This window comes from Homo sapiens, chromosome 7 (assembly GCF_000001405.40).
Source record: "Homo sapiens chromosome 7, GRCh38.p14 Primary Assembly".
In the NCBI taxonomy this organism is placed as follows: Eukaryota; Metazoa; Chordata; class Mammalia; order Primates; family Hominidae; genus Homo; species Homo sapiens.
This window is the reverse complement of record NC_000007.14, coordinates 127056289-127075274: the sequence shown is the minus strand read 5'-3', so window position 1 is coordinate 127075274 and position 18986 is coordinate 127056289. Positions and strand designations below refer to the sequence as shown.

The 18986-nt window shown below is 38.1% G+C and overlaps 1 protein-coding gene and 1 non-coding gene across 24 annotated transcripts in view; both read left to right on the top strand.

The window, feature by feature from the left end:
• GRM8 (glutamate metabotropic receptor 8) overlaps positions 1-18986 on the top strand; it is an 814344-nt gene that overhangs the window by 177667 nt on the left and 617691 nt on the right. The gene's annotated exons all lie outside the window — the stretch shown is intronic.
• MIR592 (microRNA 592) lies at positions 17091-17187 on the top strand. Its single transcript, NR_030323.1, has one exon. It is a non-coding gene; the product is annotated as a microRNA 592 (primary transcript).

Below are 18986 nucleotides of genomic sequence, written 5' to 3'. Positions count from 1 at the left end.
CTATTTGTTACCTGTGATTAACTGGGTAACCTATAGATTGAGCTTAAAGCCTCACCTGGTGAACCTATAAGATCCTGGCTGCCACCATCCCATCTCCCACCTTTACCCCTGAGATCTTTACTAGGAACTTAACTATGGACAGCATTTCTTACCACAGAAATCTCTGGGAAAATAAAATAAGCCTTTATACAAAATGAGTAAGACTCCTACATAAAATGTGGCTGTCTATAGGAAGGAAACACACCTATAACTCTGAGAATGAAATTAGTTTCAAGAATACACAAAGGATGAAGCCAGTCTTCTGTTGGAATACTCTGCTTGGGAGACTGCTTGTAAATGAGACACTCATGAACACCTGAGGAGCATCTTAAAATCCAAAGTTTTCAATCAAGAGATCAGGGTGAGCCCTAGGCAGGGCTTGACTCTGTCAGTGAATCCAACTATCCAGCTGTGGCAGGAGGAAGGCACTAACTTATCCAAGAGGAGGTGCCAGCAAGAGATATTATCAGTCTAGCTTTTAAAAGGGGGAGTGGTGAGCATATAGAAGGCAGTTGATTAATATCCAGCACTGTTAGGAGACAGGGCCAGGAGACTGGATGAAATATTTTGGTCTTACAGGCAAAGCAACTTGTATAATGGGGAAGGATGCTTTGGGTTATCTCGAGAGGCATGTCTGAAAATCATCTTCTCATTTCAAATGATAGCGTGGGTTATTGTGAGCCAGTTCCAAGGTGGCTAGCAAAATTGAGTTGCTGGATATACAAAGCTGAGACTCATCACCTAGAACAGGGCAAGTGGGGACATCTCAGAAGCTCTGTCCCCAGAGGAGGAGCAGCCCCCTGCCTCATTCTTTTCCAGTACACATATTGTGACCCTCTGCTGTCCTTGTCCTTTGCCTATATTGCACAATTTCCTGCTCAGATGTGATGGGTGAATGAAAATTGGAAATGTAAAACATTGACTATGTGGAATTAAATTTTCATGAATGACAAAAAGACTGAGTTTTACACTGAAGTCCCCAGTAGCCACCCCTACCCCAATAATGTTGCCCATGTTCTAGATTATAATCAACAGAATACTATTTTATTGCTACCTTCTATTATTTAAAAGTTTAAAATTGTTTGGAATATCAGATTAATTCAGGATACTATTGTATTGCCATCTGGGCTTATCAGTAGCAACTACTTCCATTTCCAAGTCTTATTAAGCAAAACACATTACAGCAATTTGTATGTGAAACATTACAGCACTACTAAAACTTCTATAATGCTGAAAACACAAGTTAAATGAAAGGATACTCCTTTGGTTACCTAAGGTTTGATTAATGTTTCAGTCTTGTCTGTAGAAGGATTTTCAAGGACAAAAACTCCTTACAAAAACTTCAAACTATTTAAGAGCCAATGACTCATATTCAACAGGACTTTCTGTCTAGTTGGAGGAGCACAGTCTTATTATATATATAAAAATGTCTGAAAAAAGCTGGTTGCAATCTAGAGGATCCTCTGGGGCTGGGTCTCTCTTCGAGCCCTCCATCTGGTGGCTTGCTCCCACCTCATGATTCGTGAGAACCTGAGTGGCTCCTAAAACTTGAACTTCAAATGACTCATGCTGTTTCTATTAATTTGCGGGGTCAGTTTTAGTTTCATAGACTTTGGGAAAGCCAAGCCAATCAGCCTGTGGAGTTAGACAAAATAATAATCATTCCCCTGACTAATAAAGGTCCCCACACCATTGGGGGGTAATAAACGAGTCTTGTGGGTGATGCAGAGAACAGAGCCTGTACTTTCATTTTCCTGAAAGAGTAAGTGGAAGCTTCTCAGCTAGTAATCCCTGACCCCTCTAAAAGTATCTGTCTTCTCAAAACCTGCAACCATTATAAGCATCCTGAAGGATCATCTTCAGGGTTTCACTGATGGGGCGCAGATCATCTCTCTGTACTTACTCATCTGCCCCCTTTGCAGTCATGGACCATTACTCCGCTCTTCTGTTCATGGGTTCAGAGTGATCCAGAGGCACTGGCCTTCTGCCCTGCATGCCTTTTGTGTGGCTGATCCTTCCTGGCTTTTAAGCAATTTTCTAGGTCCCTCCAGTACTTAGAAGTTTGATCCCTCTCAAAGGTCTGCTCAGTGGGCTGGAATCGGGTGGTGTTTGTTCCTGCCTTCTGGGCAGAGGAAGGCGTTCTTCCTACAGCTGTGGCGGTGATGACTGACTCTCCTTCTCATTTCCCCTTCACTTTCTCTCCCCTCCTCTGAGAGTTTTTCCTGTAGAATACTACTTTTTGAAGGAAAAGGGAAAAGGAAGCGAGGATGGCCTTTTTTGAAGAAAGAAAAAAAAAAAGAAAGAGAGGTGGGCTAGCTTTGTCTCTCCTGGTGCCTTGTCAAAATAAAAAAAAGTGAACTAGAACAGTGTCTGACCTTATCTTGCCCATCTTCAAGAACTCCCTAAAAATAATGTTTAAGATGTATCATGTGGGTTGGAAAAACACCTACAGCTTTCTCTCCCCAAATTGAACATCCTTTGTGTTTCTCTGTTTCTAGGTAGCACTCTATTTTCACTCATTCACTCATTCCATCTTACTGAATTAATATTTTTAAGTGCCCCGATTTGTGTGTTGAGCCAGATGCTGCAAAAAAAAAAAAAGTATAATATGAGGGTTCAGCATTTAGTGCTGGCAGGATGGGCAACAAACAGACATAAAATTCTCATGAAACAGTGGAAGAAAGCATAAGTTTGAGAACAAATGATGCAGATATAAATGCTAAAAAGTTTCAGAGATCAATATAATCTGGAGTGGTTGGGAAAAAAAAATCCACAAACACAGTGAGACCTTGGAGAACCTTAAAGGCCAGGCTGAAGATCATATTTTATTCTACAGATAATGGGAAACTTTTAGGAAATATGTTAGCAGTCTCAGAGATCCTATTGGAAGAGGGGCGCACATAAGAACTCTTTGTGGGTATGAAAGAACTGGCTCAGTAAAATGTGAATGGAGAGTTTGTGCAGATAGGGAGAGCTTCTGACACCCTCAAATGCAAGTATGAGGAAAATGAAGGGAGAATGCTTGCTGAGCTGAGACTACAGGGTAGTTGGGTGTACAGGGTGATGTTTGGGTGAACCAGGTGTGCACAGGCAAGGAAACACGATATATTACACAGAATGGTGGAAGCTAGTTGTCTATGCCTGAAAACAGCATAAACCTCACCATGTCTCGGTGGGAAGAAGAGCGGCACTGAAGACAGCTTGAGTAAGAACTGAGCAATCAAAGGGAATGGAGAGAAACTGGAGTTCAGGGGGTAATTTCAGTGGTATCAGTGGCATTCCACATAGCAAAGCTGGGCATGTGGGAGTAGAGAGGGAAAATACTGAAAGCAAAGATACCTATTTCTATTTTTACCATACTGAATTTCAGTTGGGGGTCTGATATTCAGTTTGAAAATCTTGAGTGGAGAAGAGGCCAGTTGGATTTATTTCTGGCAAAAAAAAATATGTATATATAGAAAAGATCAACTATGAACCTCAACCATGTCACCATATTTTTAATCTATTAATTTGATTTGCATTCAGAGACCACATTATCTTTTGAGTTACAGTGTTTCCTATTATCTATGAACTGACCTCTACAAATAAGAAGAGAAATAGGAAAAACGTCTGAGTTGCCAGGAAGGGTTATTTCCACCTAGCTTTTGATCCAGTCCGACCAACTAATGAATCCCCCGTCAGGGGCTAATAAAGGAGGCTTGTTGTGAGTGATGCAGAGAACGTAGCTCTAAGTGGTCTTACATTAATGTCTGTTCACCTTCATGCTTGACTTTGAGTCTAATGACATCCATGCACAAAGAAGGCAGGGTGAGGTGGTCTTAAATCATTATCTGAACACCAAGTCTGTAGAAAAAAAGTCCAGTTTTAAGTTCATTAAGGGATCCTGCTGAATACTCTAGGATATCAAATTAACCATTTGAAAAAACCTTTTAAAGTTGAGTTGAAAAACTAGGACATTTTTTCAAATCTTTTGTGATTCCGTTTTTTGAAGTGAATAAAACTCAGAGCTTTTTAGGTATTTTTTTTCCCCAGCCACGATGAAGAGAACATTAAAGGACATTTGCTTAAACTACATACGTCAAGTCTAAGAAGTTACTTTGGAGAAATAACTTCTTTGGCAGTGATGTTATTTTCTGTGAAATAGTAAGGATGATCTGGAACCTGGGACTCAGAAAATGCCGTTTGCAGACCCAGATATTTGGACTAGCTAGACGATTTGGAAGGTAAAACGAAGGTACCTATTCTGTTACATTATTTAATGCTGTTAGAAACTGAAGATGAAATGGCCTGTTTCAGAATTTTTCTTAGGCAGGATTATAATATTTCCAAAAAGAAAAAATTACCTTTCTTCTCTTACCTAGTTTAATGGCTAGAGATTATGGGCTTTGAATTCAGCAAGAGACACGTTCCAGTCTTAACTTTGCTGTCACCAGTTCTAAAACCCTGGGTTATTTTCCAAGTTTCATCGTCTTTAACATGGGGATAATCATAGTCCCTTCAGTTCAGAATTATTGAGAGAGTTAAACCAATTTATTTATACATATAATGTGCTTGTGAGAATACACATGGTGATAGCTCTTAATTTTCACTAGTAATAAAAGTCAAAATTGAGGAAAATAATCCCTGTGCTAGCTCATTGTTTTCAATGAGCTTCTGGGACACATCATGGTTTATGGTGACTTGAAGCGTCTTTGCTTGGACAAGGTTTAGGAAGAGTTATTGGCTGTATTGACTTCTATGCATTATTTCAGAAAGAACTCCCAATTTCTGTCATTTTTACTGTTCAAAGCTGGTGGTGAACTTTATCTCATCTTCCATTTGATGCCTGTGTTTGTGATATAAGTAAAAATCAACTTCAGAGGTTTTAAAGGGTAGTACTCACTGTTCCACCTGGAAATCATGATTTTTCTTAGAAAACAATCAAACACAGAGGCGCTCAGAATGGGGCTTGTATATAATGATCCTTATGTAGAAACAAGCACACTTGTCGACAGATACACACATAAGTGAGTGGATGAATTGATTGTCCAAGTGCATTTTAGAATATTTCAAGTACAAATATCAGGTTGTCTCTACCAGATATCCACTTATTTTAGTGAATGGTATTTTTAAAGACAAGTTAGATGTTGAAAGCTAAGGTAAATTTAAAAGAAAATGAACTGAATGTGCCCATCATCCTGTTACTGAGATTGGTAATAAATCGTGATGACGAATAATTTTTCAAATTTGATAGTGACCTATTTGTTTGTTTTCAGATAGGATATTGGCAGGGAAAAAGGAAGGAAAATAATTAACATTTGTTGAACACCTACTAATGTTGGACATAGCATTCTACGTTTGCTATTTTATGACTTCTCAGAAAATCCCTGCCAGTTGTGGGTTATAGTACCCATTTATCAAATGAGGAAAGTTTGTCTCAGAGAGGTTACAAAACTAGGATCATACATTTAACCAGTGGAATAAACAAATGCTCTTAATCATGACACCATATTTCTGCTTCATTTGTAAAGGAATATTTATCTCCTTTAGTAAAATAAATCAGCATATAGAATATCACTAACTTTTAGTTCTGAGAGAGAAACCTTCTGGTGGGAAGAGGTGAATGTCAACAGTTCTCTACTTTCCTCTTGGGGTTCTCTCATCTGCTTTGTCCTAAGTGTACAGTCCTCACCCTGGCAGCAAGTCATACTCGTGAATCCCTGTCTTTACAAAAGAATTTCCTACCCACAAAGGGGTGATTTCTTTTTTTTTTAAATTAAAATATTTGTTATTGGCCAGGCACAGTGGCTTATGCCTGTAATCCCAGCACTTTGGGAGGCCAAGGTAGGTGGATTACTTGAGGCCAGGAGTCAGAGACCAGCCTGGCCAACATGGCAAAACTCCATCTCTACTAAAAATACAAAAAATTAGCTGGGCATGTTGGTGCATGCCTGTAATCCCAGCTACTTGGGAGGCTGAGGCACGAAAATTGCTTGAACTCACAGGGTGGAGGTTGTAGTGAGCTGAGATCGTGCCGTGGCACTCCAGCCTGGGCAGCAGAGTGAGACGCTGTCTTTAAATAATAAATAAAAATAAAATAATGGTTACAATGGAGACAACAATGTGTACTGGCTGCCTGTGGAAAGAGGGGAGAGAAACTTTGTCTTCCAATGAAAATGGTTCAATATAACAGAAACCCCAATCTGAGTACCATATATTATGTTTATAATAACGTTAAAGACTTTTCCTTCACAAAAGCAGGGAAGCCCTATAATTCTGGTGCGATCCTCCTCTCTTTATGTCAGTGTTTTAGTGGGAGCTTTTCTCTGTCCACACATGCTTAAGTATAAAGTGATGCATCCTGGCATAAATGAAAGAAAAACAGCTGACTGGATTCAGCTAACAGGAGAGCACAAAGAGAAGACAGGCCAGGAGGATAAGGTCTTCTTATCCCCTCAGTAAATATGGATATTTTATTCCCATATTCCTCCTCACTGTGTGGTGTAATCATCTCTACTCCAAGATTCAGCCTGTCTCCTGCTCTGGGACCAATCTTGTCTTCAGTCGGTAGTTGGTAAAAAGCTTTAACTGAATACTCCTGTTGCTCTTGCATCAAGGTCTTGAGTCCAGCTCTGACCTTGTGCTCTGGCTTCAGCGAGGCAGCTTTTCTCCTGTTTCTAGGAAGAAATCCTTCTCCATGTGTGCCCCAGTTCTAGTTGAAGGTTTTCCCTCAACCTGACCCTAGAGTGACTAACCTGGTTTGTCTAGGACTGTCTTGAGTTTAGCACCAAAAGTCCCATGTCTCAGGAAATGTTGCTGTCCCATGCATCCACAAATGGTTAGTTACACTGCAAGCCCCCATTCTGATAATGTGCCTGGAATCCCCTTAGCACTAGGCACGGCATTCTTATTGTCTCTTGCTATGTTTGAAAGCTTTGAATAAATTGTCAAATACTCTGGCTATTGATGAGGGAGTTAATAAATTGAATTTGGAATGCTGGCTACAAGTTCCCCTAAATAATGTGATTTTGACTATCAAACCACCCACATCTTTTGAGCACAGATTCTAAATGATTACAATTTTGATTCATAAAAGAGTTTCATTAATACTAGATATTTCAGGAAATTATCCTTGACTAATACGAGGGATGGAAGGAATGGGGGAAAACTCAAGGCTCACCATATCATGGTAAATTATTTATTTATTGTTTATTTAGTGGGAAAGGATCTGCTCTGTTGTGTGCTTTCACTGGTCTAAAGGGATTTGGCACAGTTACCTAAATAGGTGTAATTATAAACCATATCTCCCTTTGCTGTTCTCCCTGAATCACTAGCCACCTTTCCCAGAACTTTGTTTAAATTCAAGTTTTACATGATCCTTGGAGTGCTGTTATTTGTAAGTAAAAAATTTAAATAATAATAATAAGATGAAAATGAAGATTATTGTAACAGTGATTTATCTAACAAGTAAAGATGGAACCTGACATACTATTCTAAATTGGATTGAGTTTACTTTTGCTATAAAAGAAATGTCAGTTTTATCTAATGACACTTTTAATTTCTTGCATTGAATGCAGGATAATACCCTTTAAAACAAAGGGGAGACATTTAAGCATAATGAGGAACTCTCAAGAGCAGATTATGGAAATAAAGCATTGCTTTTATCTATTATAGGCAGTCTCAGAGAGAGAAACAGACAAACCTAGTAAAGACTGTTCCAGATAGTTTCGGAAATCAAGCTAAATATTGAATAGGCAAAACAAACTTTCACAAAATTAGCTTACAGCAAGGCAAGTCTCCTTTAAGAATTTTAAATAAAGAGTAATTCTTGATTGGGTAGAATTCTGTGTGCTGTTTACATGAACTGTCACATGGCAGGAATCATTTAAAAAAAGAATACGGCACCTGTTACTACCAGATGTGTGGCTTCCTTTGCTACAGGATGATGGGTATATGTTGCAGAAATGCTCATGTGTGATTTGGTTCCTGAGAAACAAGCATTTTTTTGCTCTAGAAATGGTAGTTTATGATGCTCCTCTTGAAGGTTCTCATGTGAGAACTCTTGGCCACCAGAGGGAGGTGGTCAACAAAGATGAAGGGCAACAGGGCCCTCACATGGGTAGGCTGTTGGTGCTGTGTGGAATGGAGAGAGCCTACTTTAGAAAGCCCGTTGGCATTTGGGCCTTTATCACATCAGAGTGAATACTGGTACAAGAGACAGCACAGACTGTCGGGGGAGAATCTCAGCTCTGCCACTTAATAGCTAGGCAGTTTTAGGCAAACCACTTGGCCTCTCTGAGCCCTGCTGTCCTCACTTATAATACCTCATTACGTTAAGTGAAATAAGCCAAGAACAAAACATTAAGCACCACATGTTGTCACTCATATGTGGAAGCTAAATGATTCATCTAATCGAAGAAAAAAGTAGAGCAGAGGCTAGCAAAGGCTGGGAAGGGTAGGGGGAAAGGAGACATGGGGAGAGATTTGTTAAAGCTTACAAAATTACAGCTAGCTAGGAGGAATAAGTTTGTGTTCTCTAGCACTGTAGGATGACTACTGTTAATAATATACAGTTTCAAATAGAAGCAGGATATTGAATGTTTCCAATACAAAGAAATGATAAGTATTTGAGTTGATGAATATGCTAATTACCCAGATCTCATCACTATACATTCTATGTATCACAACATCACTATATAACTCATAAATATGTACAATTATGTGTCAGTTAAATTAAAAAAAAATAAAGAATACCTTTCTCACAGGTTTGATTTGAGTATCAAATGAGATAATGTCTGAGAAAGTACCTTGTAAACTCTTAAATGCTACACAAAGGTTAACTATTTTCCCATAATGTGGTTTATAATTGCATGCGTTTAGATATTCCATAAGTCACAATGTTACCTTCAAAACCCAAGGCCTGATATCAGTTATTCTGTGACACAGATATTAGTCCTCTCCCCAGGTATAAGCATTATAAAAGGTTAGCACTATATTAAGTAATGGATCTATTGCTCTACTAAATTATTCATGATTATGTGTTCAGTGAGTGATTGGTTGGATTGAAATAATCATCAGGTGTTCTCAGGGCTCTGGAGAAGAAGCTGATAAATGACATAAGGTTTCTTCAATGTGATGACTTTGCTACCATTAAACATTAAGAAAAACCAATTAATTGAATCACTGTGGGAAAAAAGTCATCAAATTCCAATCTGGAGTGTCAAAGGATCTGTTTTTTAAGTAATTATTCTTTTTAATACATCAAAGCTTTTCAGCAAAAGTTTCAGAATCGTGAATGATTTCAATGATTTTCTGAAGATCAGTTTTTGAGTAAGAAAGAGAAAAATTCATTTCTTTTTTTTACAGGGAAAGACATGTTAATTTTTTTTAAATGAAAGAATGAATAGGTTTGGTTCATTTTGACCAGGAATTTTAGTAGTTGTTGAAAAGGTTTGTGCTGGGAAATAGGTGCCCCCACCATCTCTGTCCCAGACTTCGCTGGTGGGCTCTGCAACTGTGGCAGTAACAAAAGAATGAGAATTCCACTTGGGCAGTCTGCTGTGATCTTGACTTGCTCACATCTAAATTAAACCACTTTCCATCTCCACCACCACAGCCCTCTGACATCCTCATTTTTGTCAGTAGCCCAACACTCTTCTTATCTTTCATCCTCAAATTATTTGGAGTTGTGCTTGTCTTTTTAGCTTCCAAGCATTTCTTTTTTTAAAACATTTAATTTATTTTAGGTTTGGGGGTACATGTGAATGTTTGTTACAGAGGTAAACAAGTGTCATGGGGTTTGTTGTACATACTATTTCATCACCCAGGTTTTAAGCCCAGTACCCAGTAGTTATATTTTCTGCATCTGTCCCTCCTCCCACTCTCTCACCTCAAGTAGCCTCTAGTGTGTGTTGTTCCCTTCTTTGTGTTCATAAATTCTTATTTAGCTTCCACTTATAAGTGAGAACATGTGGTATTTGGTTTTCCATTCCTTCATCAGTTTGCCTAAGGATAATGGCCTCCAGCTATTGCATGTTCCCGCAAAAAACATGATCTGGTTCTTTTTTATGGCTGCATAATATTCCATGGTATATATGGTACTACATTTCCTTTATTCAATCTGTCATTGATGGACATTTAGATTGATTCCACATCTTTGGTATTATGAATAGTGCTGCAATGAAATTTATTATATGCATGTGTCTTTATAGTAGAATGATTTATATTCCTCTGGGTGTATACCCAGTAATGGGATTGCTGGTTAGAATGGTAGTTCTGCTTTTAGCTCTTTGAGGAATTGCCATACTGCTTCCCACAATGGTTGAACTAATTTGCACTCCCACCAACAGTGTATAGGTGTTCCCTTTCCTCTGCAAGCTTGCCAGCCTGTTGTTTTTTGACTTTTTATTAATAGCCATTCTGACCGGTATGAGATGGTATCTCACTGTGGTTTTGATTAGTAATTCTCTAATGATCGGTGATATTGAGCTTTTTTTCATATCCTTGTTGGCCACATTTATGTCTTCTTTTGAGAAGTGTCTGTTCATGTCCTTTGCCCACTTTTCAATGGGGTTTTCTCTTATAAATTTGTTTAAGTTCCTTATAGATGTGGGATATTAGACCTTTGTCAGACACTAACCTTGAATAGCTAAATACCCCACTTAAAAGGGACAGAGTGGCAAGCTGGATAGAAAAGCAAGATCCAATGGTATGCTGTCTTCAAGAAACTCATCTCATGTGTAATGACACTCATAGGCTCAAAATAAAGAGATGGAGGAAAATCTACCAAGCAAATAGAAAACAGAAAAAAGCAGGAGTTGTAATCCCAATTTCAAACAAAACAGATTTCAAACCAACGAAGAATAAAAAAAGGCAAAGAAGGGCATTACAAAATGGTAAAGGGTTCAATTCAACAAAAAGACCTAACCTAAGTATATATACACTCAACACAGGAACACCCAGATTCATGAAGCAAGTTCTTAGAGACCCACAGAGACATAGACTTCTGTGCAATAATAGTGAAAAACTTCAACATTTTACTGACAGTATTAGAGAGTTCATCAAGGCAGAAAATTAACAAAGATATTCAAGACCTAAACTCAACATTGGACCAAATGGATATTATAGACCTTCACAGAACTTTCCACCTAAAACAATAGAATATACATTCTTCTCATTGCCAAATGGCACATACTCTAAAATCAACCACATAATTGGACATAAAATAATCCTCAACAAATGTAAAGGAACTGAAATAATACCAAACACACTCTCAGACAATAGCACAATAAAAATAGAAAGTCAAGACTTTGAAAATCACTCAAAGCCATCCAATTAAATGGAAATTAAACAACATGCTCCTGAATGACTTTTGGGTAAATAGTGAAATTAAGGCAGAAATTAAGAAGTTCTTTGAAAATAATGAGAACAAACAACATACTGGAATCTCTGGGACACAGCTAAGGTAGTTTTAAGAGGGAAATTCATAGCACTAAATGCCCATGTCAAAAAGATCTCAAATTAAAAACTTAATTTCACAACTGCAAGAATTAGAGAAAGAATAAATCCACCCCAAAGCTAGCAGAAGATGAGAAATAACAAAAATCAGAGCTGAACTGAAGAAAATGGAGACATGAGAAACCATGAGTTTATTTATTTATTTTTTCTTTTTGTTTGTTTTTGAGACAGAGTCTTACTGTGTCACCCAGGTTGGAGTGCAGTGGTGCAATCTCTGCTCACTACAACCTCCGCCTCCCTGGTTGAAGTGATCCTATTGCCTCAGCCTCCCATGTAGCTGGAATTACAGGTGCCTGCCACCACAAGTGGCTAATTTTTGTATTTTTAGTAGAGACAGGGTTTTACCATGTTGGCTGGGCTGCTCTCAAACTCCTGACCTCAAGTGATTTGCCCACCTTGGCCTCCCTAAGTGCTGGGATTACAGGCATGAGCCATGGCACCTGGCCTGGCTTAGGAGTTGCTTTTTTGTTTGTTTGTTTGTTTGTTTTTGATGGAGTCTCACTCTGTCATCCGGGCTGGAGTGCAGTGGCGTGATCTCGGCTCACTGCAAGCTCTGCCTCCTGGGTTCACGCCATTCTCCTGCCTCAGCCTCCTGAGTAGCCAGGACTACAGGTGCCTGCCACCATGTCTGGCTAATTTTTTGTATGTTTTTGTAGAAACGGGGTTTCACCGTGTTAGCCAGCATGGTCTTGATCTCCTGACTTTGTGATCCATCTGCCTCAGCCTCCCAAAGTGCTGGGATTACAGGTGTGAGCCACCACACCCAGCAGGAGTCGGTTTTGTGGGAAAAAAATTAATAAAATAGATAGGCCACTAGCTAGAGTAATAAAGAAGATAAGAAAGGAGATCCAAATAAGCATAATTGGAAATGATGAAGGGAATATTACTGCTGACCCCCACAGATATAAAAGCAACCATCAGAAACTACTGTGAACACCTCTACACACACAAACTGCAAAACCTAGAAGCAGTGGATAAATTTCTGGACAATTACACCCTCCCAAGACTGATCTAGGAATAAAATGATTCCCTGAACAGACCAAAAGCCAGCTCTAAAATTGAATCTAATAAATAGCCTACCAACCAAAAAAAGCCCAGGACCTGATGGATTCACTGTCAAATTCTACCAGATATATAAAGAAAAGTACCAACCATTCCTACAGTATTTCTTATATACAATGTGTTCACAAGTCCTGACATTTATTTTGCTGAAAACATCTCTGGTTGGACTCTTACACCCCCATGTCCCCTGACACCAGCTGAACCCCAGCTTTCATGCTTGCAGTGTCATGGTGGCCCTGACTCCTGGAATTCCTCCAATTCCTCCTGAATCCTTCTACAGTGCTGCTTTTATTACACCATTCCTTCTTTTATAAATGGCAATGACTCCCTATTGCATGCTGTGTCAAGCCAGCTCCTCTCTTGGTGTATCCTTTTTAGTCATGTTTGTTTCCCCAGATTTGCTGGGATCCTCCTGCACACCTGGCTTCACCAGCTTAGCTATCTGCCTTTTCCCCACATGATCTCTTTGTCTGAATTACCTGGAATTAGCCTTTCGTCTTCTTTTCTTTCTTTCTCTCTCCTTTTTTTTTTTTTTTGATGGAGTCTTGCTCTGTTGCCCAGGCTGGAGTGCAGTGGCACGATATCGGCTCACTGCAACCTCTGCCTCCTGGGTTCAAGCAATTCTCCTGCCTCAGCCTCCTGAGTAGCCGGGATTACAGGCACACATCACCACGCCTGGCAGCCTTTCTTCTGTAGGAAATTTTGGATGATCCAGCATCAAGGAGGTCAAGAAGCTGCTTTGAAAATTGAGATTCACCAACTTTAACTTAAATTTAGGATTCTTTAATTAATCAGTCTGGGGCTCTCCTATAGTGTGAAAAATAAAGAACATCCAGTATGGAAGTACAGTAGACTATTTACATTCTGGTGGGAAAAGTATCCTTCCCAACTTTAGCATCTGCAGGCCTGAATTGAGCAGTGACAAGATAGACACTGAGATGACATTAATAAAGTCCTGTCATCAGTAACGATAGCAGAGAGATATCAGTCAACACCCCAGATGGTAGAGGAAGATCTGGAAACACAGTAGAACTTGAGCTTCCACAAGCATCAGCAGGGGGAGGAAGGGTGTGGGGGAAAGGAAGATAAAGGTGGAGATGAATATTCTGCTGCAGGGGCCCCAAAGCCAGAAATTATTGATTAAATTGGTAGCTTGATCTGTGCCCATTCACCTAGTAACCATGGGAAAATAAGTTGGGTTAATTTTAAAATAATAATGCCCAGTTCATAGAGACACTTGAAAATGTTAATGTATTTTTTTGGTTAAAAATGATGAGCTATCAGATTAATTCAAACAGCTGAATGTTGTAGTTTGTATTAGTTAATAATTGTATTCCTTTTCAAGATCATTAAATAAGTAACTGCACGAAATGAGATAACATATGTAAATCACCTAGCACAATTTCTAGTAGCTAGCATAGTCCTTAATAAGCAGGAGTACTTTTACCCCTTCCTTTCTGTGAATTCAATGATTTAAAGAAAATTATTCATGTAAGTAAATAAAGTTTAATGTCTCTCTGTGGATATTTTGCTTCAGTTCATGTGAATCTTAGGAGTCCTAAAGAAGTAGAAGAAAAGCTATGGGGACAGAAAGAATAAGTGCAGTTGTTTGTTATACCTGTCTCAGGTATACAAGGTAGGTGTGCAACATGGAGGCAGGCAAGTTTCATATGAACATGTTCAGCCCCACTTTCAGGGCCACCCTATCACTATATAACTGGACACATTTGCACAAATGTGTCCCTATTTGAAAAAGCAAATATGTGGAACCCTGAACTTGCTAAGTAGGCAAATGATGGGTGATTATTCTACTACAAAAGATTCTTTGCTCTGAAAGACACAAAATGAGTTAAATTTTTTTTTTTTGCTACATGCATCTGTTGCTTAAATTCTATCTAGATGAAAAGTACATTAATATACAGCTGACTAAATCTGCAAAAACTAGGAATTTCTCATGTTGCTATTCTTGTTTATCTTCTGGATTTGGAATTTAAAAAAGGCATGCCATACTTATAATTCTTAAAGAAACAAATCTTAAGAAGTTCACTAACTCCATATTGGACTGTTATATATCATTGGGTTCCTATTTTCAGCAGATATTCTGCCTATATTTTCTGTATTCCATTTACTAAATATATCACTTATTCAAGCAAATTTCATATTGTATCTTGTTTCTTACTATCCTATTCATGATAAAATTTTGTATAAACTATCAGTGAAAAAGGATTGTTATTTGAAAACTTTTTCTCTCTTTCTGTAACCAAATTATTACTTATTGCATGTCTTTTGGAGTGTAGGTACTAGTACTCTTCTTTGTATCATTTTATAAAATATATATGTTAATGAATATATATGTGTATATATCATATATGAGTATTTATTTGGCCATACATTAAAGATTCAAAGCCATACATTAAATATTTTATCAAGTTTAAATAATTGCTCTCATAACCTCTAAAAAGATATGTGTTTGTCTAGCTTAAAAGTGACATTTTAGAAACTTGTTTGAAAACTTGCCTTTCGATGTCATGTAATTCTCAGAAAGATGAAGTCTTTTAGGACTGAAATCCCCTCAAGTTTTTATTCTTTTGTTATGTCTAGTTTCTAAACACCTCTTGAGGATTATGGTAGCTGTAGAAAATGTCTACCAGTGACTTTCATGTGGGGCTTAATGTCAGAATATATAACCACTTATCATTGGCTGGGCTGAAGTGTTTTTCCAGTGCTTGTTTTAAAAGGTGAATCAGCAGCAGGGATATTCCTAATCCATCTTTATGTACACACCAGAAGAGAAGTTGCCAAGGTTTTTATGGCTAGTCAGATGCTTTCAAGAAAGTACAAGTGGCTTTGATTTTCAGTTTTTATTTGGTTACAAAGAGAGAAGGAACATATTTGGTCTCATGGATGGAAAATGCTCCTACAAGAAAACTCCACTGCATTGATGCAGCGTATTCATGAGTTATCTAGAGGCTATTTGTAATTATGATGAAGGATTATGGTAATATGAGTGTGAGTCAGTACCTCTTAAAAATCATTTATATGGGCCGGGCGCGGTGGCTCATGCCTGTCATCCCAGCACTTTGGGAGGCCAAGGCGGGTGCAATCACAAGGTCAGGAGTTAGAGACCAGCCTGACCAATAGGGTGAAACCTGGTCTCTACTAAAAATACAAAAATTAGCTGGGTGTGGTGGCGTGCACCTGTAATTCCAGCTACTCAGGAGGCTGAGGCAGGAGAATCGCTTGAACCCAGGAGGTGGAGGTTGCAGTGAGCTGAGATTGCGCCACTGCACTCCAGCCTGGGTGACAGAGCAAGACTCCATCTCAAAAAAAACAAAAAAAAAAAAAAGCAAAAAAAAAAAATTTATATGAACCAATCATTTTGAGAAAACATCTACAAAATGACGGATTTAGTCTAATACTTTGGTGTCTCCCACATGTCCAACTTGTCCAATTCTTGCATTTGAATGTGGAATTTTTTTCTTCTCTGCCTATTCATTTTTCAAGATACAAAAATATGTTCTCTCCCCTATAGGATCTTCTTGGCAACCCTAGATTATCCTTTCCTTTTCTGAGTCCTCAGAACACTCTGTCATATCATCATTAGAGCCCTTAGCAGGTTGTCTTGAAATCTGTTGCTCACTTGTCTCCCTTATTGCTCTGTGAGCACCTCAAGGTGACACTGTTTCTTCTGTTTCATCTGAGCCCTTGTACCTAGAACAGTGTCTGGCACACAGCAAATGAACTAATGAAAGAGAGGTCACACACTGACAGTCTGCACAAACCGCCCATTATGTTTAATGAACTGGTAACTACATATTTTTGGAAGAGTTCATAAGTTAATTCAGATAACATTCAGATAAATGTTTCATCCAAATGCCCAGGTTTATCATAGTTGCTAACACGGAGACTCTGCTTGTCACCAAGCCTGTGATGGCAAAAGGCCCTCTCTCACAGCTTTCAACACACCCTCCAGCCTTATATAAATGTCTGTAGTCAAAACTATTGACTGGATCTGCCTCCTATCCTCCATTACTTGCTATTTCAGAATGTTATAGAAGAGGAATGTTGTGGTGAAGGAAAACAATTTGAGGAAGGTGGACATTGAGGGCAAGAAATTAGAAACAAATTAATTTTTTTTTTCACCAGCCTAAATATGATCCTATTTTAGGGCCTGGGAAAAAAAGGAGGAACTAACATTTATAAATGTTTATCTTTAAAATGGGATTCAAGTGTAACTAGTTATGGGGCAAGGTGAGTAACAAGCCATGAAATCTATCCCCGTGAAAACTATTTCCTCCAACTCTAAGCTGTAACTTTCAAATTCTCCTAATTTGAGATCTAGGAAGTTTTAATAGACCAGGAAATGATTTGTCCAGTTGCTGTTCTCGCCTACCAACCAGGAGTGTGTTGACAAGAACAAAGAGAAACTTTAAAGCTCTCTTGCCCTTCCTGGGGCCAGGCTGTGGGGAGTGCTGATGAATTTAATTTGATGATATTATGCCATGACATTGTGTCAATATGCGATGATGTGTTGTGATGGCACAGCGTCATCACGTGGTGACGCAACATCATGACGTAAGACGTCACAACGCCAGTTAAAGACGTGATTCCAGAAGGGTTTTTAAACTGAGCAACAAATCTACAATTATTTAACTAAAAGCTTGAGATTTTAGAAAGGCAGCTGAACTATAAATTACAGGTTAGAAAATGTTTCTTTGCATGAATTATGGCTCTTTTTAAATTTGTATATGGCTCCTTCTAGAAATTGTAACCTCTGTTCTTGCAAGGCAGCTTTAGAAATCAAAATATAATTTCATTTAATAGACTGTTTCTATCACAAGTTTTCCCTATATTAGGTTTTTTTTTTTGTGGGATATGAGCTGGTGCTAAATTTAAACATAATTTCACAATGAGATTTAGAAAATATAATCTTTTAATTTGCATATTTGTTAAAAATTATTTAGTGCCTCATAGAGTGCCAGGTAAAATGATTTATAATTGAAATTACATTGTAACTAATATCTTTTCTGGGCATACATTTTATAACAATAATCTTGCACTCAGATTTTAATAATAGAGATATGTTAAAAAGGAGAAATGATTTTCAAATATGTTTTACTTTGTATATGTGTGAAATCTTGGAAAAACCTTTATATGTTTTGTGCCTCAGTTCTACCATCTTTAAAATGATGAGGATGCTTTTTTTTTCTTGTTTTTATAGGGATATTGTATGGACAAACTATATGATGTATGCAAATGTTGTTTGGAACAAATGTTGTTATATAAATCTAGGTTACTATTAAATACCTTCTCCAGAGCTACATAGACTCTACTCATGAACTTGAAATCCAGTGGGGAAACATTTGTTAGACTAGAACCAAGATGGATTTGATGTTTGATTCTTCATCTTAACTTTTCCCTCTGATTGCTTCATTTCTAGATTTACATGTTTAGAAATGAGTTATGCTGAAGTATATAAGACAGTGGCATAAAAATATTTTTGATATTTAAAGTTTTGGTAACTCTTTCTCTTCTGTAAACGTGGATATAAAGCTGTATGTTTCTCACTGGTGAAAGGAACTTTACAATCCACATTAGGGTGAATATAATTTGAGCAAAAGTTCAAATTTTTTTTTTCACTCATATGTAGCTTTGTCAGTTCACAATCCAGAGAATACTGGAAAAGTCTGAAGTGTCACAAAGCTGCTTCACTACATTTAATTTTCTGTGGTGAAGTGAGGAGATTGCTTTGTTGTTTTAAAATTCACTTTTGCTTTATCACTCCTTCTGCAACTCCAGTAAAAATGTACCAAAATTTCATGTCTCCTGAAAGTGATACATGACTTTTTGATGGAATTTGAAATGGTGGTTGATTACTTTTGAATACTTAAGCTCCACCGGTTGACAGCTCACATCTACAGAAAAACAATTAGCAAATTTGTGAATTATCATTGGTTTACACATTAAACAAGCAAAGTAATTCTTTATAACGTTAACCAACAGGCTGTGTCTTGATTACAGGATATTGTTTTTCATTAATAAATGGAGCTATTTTTAGATTTTGCCGGTGTGTATACATTTTACTTGCTTGCTTTTCATATCTCAGTCACCATTATGTGCCAGTCTCCAGGACCACCTGCATAATCTGTGGGGCCCAGTGTTCAAAAATTATTGACACTTTTAAGACATTGACAGTAGATCATTAGCTAAGTGTACCTCCCTTCTGTGTACAGGCCCTGGGCAGCTGCTCAGGTTGTGCACCCATGCAGACCTGCCAGGCATGTCATGAATTTGGCAGCTTTGGATTTAATGTGCTTCTACAGTTTATGGCCTGTTTGTGTGATCTCCTGCTTCTTTAAGGTTAGTTTTGGACTACTTACTTACTTTTA